Source organism: Homo sapiens, chromosome 15 (genome assembly GCF_000001405.40).
Source record: "Homo sapiens chromosome 15, GRCh38.p14 Primary Assembly".
NCBI lineage: Eukaryota > Metazoa > Chordata > Mammalia > Primates > Hominidae > Homo > Homo sapiens.
The window spans coordinates 22,748,137-22,756,960 of NC_000015.10; the positions used below are offsets into that span (position 1 = coordinate 22,748,137).

The 8,824-nt window shown below is 35.5% G+C and overlaps 1 pseudogene; it reads right to left on the reverse strand.

Annotated features, from left to right (window-relative positions):
* On the reverse strand, positions 8,377-8,593 carry LOC100132817 (C-X9-C motif containing 2 pseudogene; annotated as a pseudogene).

The window sequence follows — 8,824 nt, forward strand, 5'->3', positions numbered from 1 at the left end:
ATTCAACATGCTTTTGATTAAAAAAAATCAGCTTTTCATTTGGAATTAGACAAGTTGATCCTAAAGTTCAAGTAGAAAAAGGAACAAGGTCAGCCAGGAAAACAATAAAAAGAGTAGTGAAGGGATACTAGTTCTACCAGATATTAAGGTATATAATACCATCTTTAATTAAAACACAGTGGTACTGGTACATGATTAGACAAAGACAGAATAGAAAATAGAAATAGATTCAAATACATATGTGAATTTAGTGTAAAAGATCTTCAACCAACCAGAAGAGGTTGTGGACAACTGCCCAGCCATTTAGAAAATAAAAGTTATCTTTATACCAGAGTAAGTTCTGAGTGGACCAAACTTGAAATTTGTAAATGAAATATAAAGTGTAAAATAGAATGGAGGAGAATTCCTTAATAAAGCTGGGATGGGCAGGATCTAATAACTCCTACTTAAAATCCAGAAGCCATTAAAAAAAAGAAAATAATAAGTTTCTCATAGAAATATGATAAACAGAGTCAGGATATGACAAATTGGGGATCCAATATTTGAAACTTATTCAGAGGCAAAAGGCTAATTTACTTTATTTAGAAAAGAACTCCTAGAAATGAACAAGAAGAAAACCCAGTAGACAACTGAGGAAAAGATGCAAACAGAATTTTGCAGACAAGGAAATACAAATAGCTCTTAAATAAATGAAAAAAAAATGAATACCCTCATTCATTATAAAATACAAATCAAAATTAGTCTGAAGTAATATTTTTCAGATTGGCAAGAATCTGAAAGTTTGTTTAAAGTCTGTTCTGGGTCTTCCACATTCATTATTCTCTACGGTCAATCACATTCCAAGGATTGTTGCCTCCAATGCATGCCTTTTTCTCAATTTTATTTTCTCCCATCAGAGTCATGCACAGATTAGCTCCCAAGTGAGCTATTATAATGGCCTCCTAGCATCTAAACTCTCCTTTTTTCCAATTGATAGTTCTGCCAGAGTTGTCTTCTTAAAGCAGAGGTTAGACCGCATTTCTCTAAGTAAATTCCAATGACACCAAAACAGTGATTCTTAATAAGAATTACAAGTAGGGAAATACAGATGGGAGAGTTTGCTTAGTAAATAAGTTCATAAAATCTAGGTTAAACAAAGTTAAATGGGGTTTGCTTTTCGCTGTTGCTTTGTTAATGTGCATTTGAAATTTCTAAAGTGGCATTACATATCCGTAATTTCCCTTATCTATTTGACAAAGGAATCTGGTTTGTTTAGAAGCATTTTTTCAGAGCTGTGATAGGTCAACCTTTCAGAAATTCCTCATTATCAACAGTCAAATCCAGATGTATTTTCTTTGGCTCTCACAACAGGCTTAGAGGAATTTCTAGTCTGTTCTCCTGATGTTTCATTATGTGCATCTTTTGCTTAGGCCTGTTAAACCTTCTCAATGTGTGTATCTTCTACTCCATGTCTTTATTCCTACTGTTGTCTTAACAGGAAATCCTTGCAACCCAATTCATAGTTTTTGTTCTTTGGAAAAATCCAAATCATGTATCATGAATACATATTTTTTCTCTATTGAGATTTGCCTGTTTTTATGTATCACAGCCAGAAGTAATCACTGCATAGTGTATTTCTGTAGAAAGATAGAAGAGTTCTATTTTAACACAATATTTACTATACACCCAGCAAAGGTCTAGGTATTTATACATACTATTTTATTTATTCATCTCATCAACGCAATGAAGAAATATTAATAAATCCATTATATATGTTAAAAGGTAGCGACACATATATGCTACATGTGCAGGTTTTCTCAGGTATTATTAGCTAGGGAAGCTGTGTTGTAACAATCTTCAAAAACTTCTTTCTGTTGTTTACATGCTATTCCACATCATTTTGTTTTCATTTCTTTTGTAGTATCTAATGTATTCTACTAAAAAAAAAAGTAGAGTAGTTGGAAAACTTGTGAAAAAAACATGTATTACATATATACCATTCTTCATGATTCTCAAAATTTTCATCATTATTAATGTTTTGTATATATATATTGTGTGTGTATGTATGCATGTTAGATATATAATTTAAAAGAAAACAATAAGTTGGTGGCTTATGGCAAATTGTTCCTTAAGTCCTGCATTTGAAACATAGACACTGAGTGAATCAGCACATTTGATCATCTTTTAACTACAATAGATGATTATACATTAAAAATACATTAACCATCCAAATACATCTTTTTTCTTATTTATTTATGTATGTATGTATGTATTTATTTATTTTTATTTTTTTGAGATGGAGTCTCTTTCTGTTGCCCAGGCTGGAGTGCAGTGGCGCGATCTCAGCTCACTGCAAGCTCCACCTCCCAGGTTCCCGCCATTCTCCTGCCTCAGCCTCCCGAATAGCTGGGACTACAAGCGCCCGCCACCATGCCTAGCTAATTTTTTTGTACTTTTAGTAGAGACGGGTTTTCACCATGTTAGCCAGGATGGTCTCGATCTCCTGACCTCGTGATCCGCCTGCCTTGGCCTTCCAAAGTGCTGGGATTACAGGCCTGAACCTCGGCGCCCGGCCCAAATGCATCTTTAGGAAAATTATATTTAAGCTCTTCATGGAGACATTAAAAAACCAAGCTTCATTAATGATAAATAATTATATCATTCATTAGTAAGGAGTAAATAGCTGTTTTCTATTTGAGAAGTATTAATTGGATTGTCCATCTGTATGCAGGAACATCTGTTTTCTGACATGCTTTAATCACCATTTGTTTTGTACTTGTACCATAATTACACTTGTTTGTAATATTGAACCGAGACAATGATTAAAATCAATTTATGAATACGATTCTTTTATGCTTTTGTATTTCATTAGAAAATGTGTAATTCTGGTATGACATTTATAAGTATATATAAAAGAAAGTATTTGATTAACAAAATGCCTCAACAGATGATGTCAGTAAAATGAGTGTTATATCATGCAGTCTATGTTACTATTTTGGCATTTTTAAGGAAAGTTTATTGCTTCACGGAAGCTTTTTTAACTGACCATCTATGAATTTTCTGTATTCTTTATTTCAGTGTGATCACATGGTCATAGAAGAGACATTTTTAGATCATCAGAAGTTGACAGTTTTCAGTGTAGTGTATGTGCTTAGTATAAGATGGAATTAAGTTTGTTGTATGGGTGATTGATGAATTTTTACTGAATCATGGATAACTGCTGTTCTATTAATGACATTTCATCAATCAACTCTTTTGGATATGGTTTATCACAAAATGTTGCTGATTTAATGTTTGTGGATTAACTGAGGTGAAAGTGATACCTGGTAGAAGTTTCATTAATACAAATTTTCCTCTCTTAGGAGTAGGATGGATTATATTATTTGTCGAAATGCCTTTGCATGTAAGTTCTTAACTGTCAGCTTTCTTGTCCTGTGAATCATATCTTTTCTGTATTTGCTGAAATAGAGACTTAACATTGTTAAATGATTTTTCCATGTCATGGAAAATGTATGCCTCTAAATCTGCGTTCCTTCCTACAAATTACAAGTTCAAAATGACTTTTTTTAAGAAACAAAAAAAAAGATGGATTTCTGGTATTTTGTGGCAGGATAAGCTCCCTGTAGCCTATCTTACATGTTGATTACAACTAAAACTATGAAAAGTACAATAAGCAACTAACTGAGGAATCTGAAAAGTAAATAAAAGTAGAATTATGAGTGATAGGCAAAATCTGGAGAAGCACCTTGCAGTAGTGTGAGCTTCCATTGTTGTATTTCTTTCAATCAAAACCAAAACAAACAAACAAAACAAATAAAAACCAGAAAAGAACACCACCAACAAGAAAACACTCAAGGAAAATAGATATTGTGATAGAAACAGCAGAAATGTCGAGAAACAAAACCAGGAGGTTAGAATTATTAGAGAAAATAATATAAAAAGTAATTTTAAAGTATCTAAACAAAATTTTAAAAAGGAATTTAAAAAATAAGCAAGGAGAAGACAATAAAAATAGGTTGATAATTCATTTGTTAGCATTTGTCTGTTTGGTATTTGTTGACCATTTTATTTTTAAAACATTTGGCTATATTTGATTTTGGTGTATTTCTTGTATATGTATTGTAAAATTTAGTATTAAATATTTTATATTGTTAAATGATAATTTATTTTTATTGATAAGAAAGATGTAGTTTTCTGGTTGTTATTTTTGTAATTTTACCTGCATTTATATTTTTCTCCATTTATTTAGATAATACCTAATGGTTCCCCACAATGAGTGGCAATTAAATTAGACTCTTTGCTATTTTCACTTTCTCAACTTCTCCTGAACTATTTGATTTTTGTGGCAGGATATTTCTTAATATTTGCCTTTGTGCCACTTAATGTTTTCATACTATTATGGGCAAATTTTGAGATTTAAAATGAACCCATTACTCTCAGCTATTATAGACGAGGCAATCAGGGAGCTAATTCCTACTTTCCCCTTTCTTTTACTCTGTCCTCCTAGTTGTTACAGTTGAATCATTTGTACATTATCAGAATCATCAGTAAAATATCTTTTTACATTTTCTACACCATGTATCCCTTAAATCTATATATGATGCATTGAATGCTTACCTCTTGCCTTACTGGTAGTATTTTACCTACTCAGAACTAGGTTGATTGAACTTTGTCCTGTGGTAAATCTCTTAATAAGAACTTTCTGTAAACAGTGTTCCCTGCAATTATGGGTGCTTATAACTGTACACTTTATAGCTGATAGATATCTTGCAAGGATAAGGATAACCATTTGCTTCTCCCTTCTCTTCTTTCTCAATATTTCCCCCCATTTTCTGGTGTTAACTTTTGCTGTGGAAAACTCTGATGCCAAAATGATTTTCTTTTTCTCTAAGTTGACTATTTTTGCTTAAGCCCCCACATAATGCTTTCTTAATCTTTAAAGTCCTAGTCCCATACACAGATATATCTTGGTGTTGAACATTCTAATAACATATATAAGCATATACTACACAGTAATGTAAATATATGTGCTTATGATGATCTATCTTGGCTTAATATAGGCAATAACTTTTTTCTAATTCTATCCTATGTTTTACAGTTTTTGGATTTTTGGACGGGGAGAGGACTTATTACATATTCTTCTCTCACTTACACCCTTTACGACCCTTACATTATTTGGGGTTCAGTCTCCCTTGTTCTCTTTACAATTTAGTTTTTTTTTTTTTCCTACAATGATTTTGTTTTTAAATCCTATTTCTTTCATGGATTCTGCCAGTTGCTATTGCACTTTCTGGCTATCTCTTCCCCATGCTCTTGCATTTCACTTCATGGTCTCTTTATGTTTTATTACACCCTTAAAATTTATGTTGGAATGTATAAATGTTCATTCCTTTTTTCATCTGTTTTGTAGCAACATGTTTCTAGTTATTACAAGAGTTGATATATTCCTTTTTTATCTTTATTCTTAGAGTATTTTTATGTGAATGCTGAGAAAATTCCTTTAGTATTTCTCATATGTGAAAGTTGAATTTCCTACAGGACAAAGGAAAGGGGTTGTAGAATGTGCCCCAGCCTGCTAGCTCAAGGGCCCTCTCATCATTTGCTACAGTGACAGACTGTTGCCTCATTTTGGGGACATTATGGAGTCACCGCTCGTTCTCCATAAGAGCATAAATGATTACCAGGTAGTTGTTACTGTCTTCTCTCCTTGATACTCATACATAACTCATAGCACATATGGAAGCAACCTTCTAAATACCCATGTTTTATCTTTAAAATGTTCTTTGTGTGTAGCTGCCCATTTGTTTTGTGCTAACTGACTGCCCCTATTACCTTCAGTTGTAACAACCCATTTAAGGTAGAAACGAAGGACACTCATCTCCATGTGTTTTCAGAATTTAAATGAAAAAATAAAAAGAGGCTGATGTCACGTCCCAGTTTAACGTAGGGGTTTTATTTATTTATGTACACTCAATCAAACTATGACTATTACAAATGGTTTTACCGCTACAATAAAGATAGTTAATTCATAGCTCAATAAAAATGAAGAGTGAAAGATTAAAAAAGGAAAGCAACAATTCTAAACTATAAAATCTACTTCAAAAAGCTACATACAGCAAAGCTCAATAAATAAATTATGAAAAAAAAAATATGGGATAAGTTTTATGGTTTAGGAGATACCTTCCTATAAGCCAAAAACCTAAAAAAAATGCTAAAGGTATAGCTTGCTATAGTACGTCGTAGGAGAAATTAACATGTATAAAATCAATAACATTCACATTATGTGATAGTCTACAGCCAAACAATAATAGAAAGCAAGTGAAATGCTTAGCATAGCTATTTAGTCTACTAAATTAGGTTTGTGAAAATGGGAATGCCAAATGCCTTAAGGCTTACAGCAGGTGCAAAAGCAAAACATCAGAGGTCAACCTAAGGATATTTTTAATATAAAATTAATGTACCTGCATTGTAAGCATTTTTTTTTGTATGGTAGAAAGGAAAAAATTCTTGTATTATTCTACTATAAATGTGTATTCTTTGCTCTACTAAATTTGCATGTCATTGTCAGCCTTTCACTTTGTCTTCAGCTAACAAGAACCTCTTGGGTTCATCCTTTGGAGAACCTGATATCATGGAAAATGGACTGAACTAGGAGAAGAGCCTTTGTTTAGACCACATGCTGAGGTCTAGTGGCTTCAATTAAAAATATATAAATGTGGCCGGGCACAGTGGCTCACGCCTGTTAACTCCAGCACTTTGGGATTCTGAGGCGGGCAGATCACGAGGTCAGGAGTTCAAGACCAGCCTGACCAACGTGATGAAATCCCGTCTCTACTAAAAATACAAAAATTAGCTAGGCATGGTGGCACGTGCCTGTAATCCCAGCTACTCAGGAGGCTGACGCAGGAGAATCGCTTGAATCCCGGAGGCGGAAGCTGTAGTGAGCCAAGATCATGCCATTGCACTCTAGCCTGGGACGACAGAGTGAGACTCCATCTCAAAAAAAAAAAAAACAATTATGTGTGTGTGTGTATATATATATATATATATATATATATATGCTTAATCTCTAAGCTTTGGAAGGAACAGCCTATCTACAGAAAAATTTAAAACTTGGTCATGGCAGGTACAGAGCTGGGCCCCATGAATTTTGTTGACATTGGGGTCAGCAGATTCTGTAAATTTTCACTATACCTCTCATATGATCTGCCGCCACACCATTCATACTCTTTTAACTTTATTTCTCCTCATACCAGTAAATTACTAAAACTGCCAAGTTTTTTTTTCACAAATTAGTATTTTTAGCATTCTCTTCCTTCAGTCTGCAATGAAATTCTCTACTCCCCTCCCTCCTCCTTCCTCCTTGACTCCCACTAATGCACATTTGTGTTTTGGTTTCCACACCAAATGAGCTACCTTCAATAAGCATCCCACAACTCCACAGGGAACTTTTGTTTCTCTACCTTCTGTGCTGTGGAAGCACTTGGCTCAGAATGAGAGATCTGTCTGCATTTCAGATCTACAAATTACTCATTGTGTGACCTTGGACATATCCCTAATATTTTTGAGCCTCAGTTTCTCAAAAATTAGAATAAAGATACCAAACTCCTGGGGTTTTGTGAGAGTAAAATGAGACGATGTGTGTAAGAGACTCAGTGCAGTGTCAGTATCTACCATGTGCTATGCACTCTGCGTTTTCTTTTTTTTTTTTTTTTTTTTTTGAGACGGAGTCTCGCTCTGTCACCCAGGCTGGAGTGCAGTGGCGTGATCTTGGCTCATTGCAAACTCTGCCTCCTGGGTTCAAGAGATTCTCCTGTCTCAGCCTTCGAGTAGCTGGGACTACAGGCCCTTGCCACCACGCCTGGCTAATTTTTGTATTTTTAGTAAAGACAGCGTTTCACCATATTGGTCAGGCTGGTCTTGAACTCCTGACCTCAGGTCATCCACCCACCTCGGCATCCGAAAGTGCTGGGATTACAGGTGTGAGCCACCATGCCCGGGCCAACCCATAGCCTTTTGGTCTTCTCTCAGCCAAGGCATCCAGTGAAAATGCAATTTATTTTTCAGATTCCTCTGGAGAATTAAAAAGTCTCTTTTGCGGCTGGACACAGCAACTCCTGTAATCCCAGCACTCTGGGAGGCTGAGGCAGGCAGATCACAAGGTCAGGAGATCGAGACCATCCTGGCCATGGCCAAAATGGTGAAACCTGTCTCTACTAAAAATACAGAAATTAGCTGGGTGTGGTGGCACAGGCCTGTTGTCCCAGCTACGTGGGAGGCTGAGGCAGGAGAATTGCTTGAACCCAGGAGACGGAGGTTGCAGTGGGCCAAGATTGAGCCACTGCACTTGCTCTGGTGAAAGAGCAAGACTCCGTCTCAAAAAAAAAAAAAAAAAAAAAAAAGTCTCTTTTGCATCAAATTGCCATACTCTCTGCTCTTGGTCCTCTTTTCCATGTACTCATTCTTCAAGCATTTATTTTCTCATTGCCTGATCCAGATCATTGCAATGACCAAAAAATGTTCGGATGCTATGATTTTTGTGATATTCTTTTAGCAAGTTAATCACGATGTTGCATTCTTGAGTGTGCAAGTGTGGAGGTAAGTCAGGATGCATCTTTAAGACAAAAAGATGGGTCACGGCAGTGCCACACCACTCACGGCCACACCAGGAGAGCTGAAAGTCACCAACGAAGATGCCTGACCCAGAAGCTGGCTGCTAGGGAGCCAAGCCAGGTCACTCCACATGTGGCCAATGCCCGGGGATGGCCCTCCACCGCCCAAGCTTATTATTATTACTATTATTATTATTTTGAGATGGAGTCTGGCTCTGCCTCCCAGGCTGGAG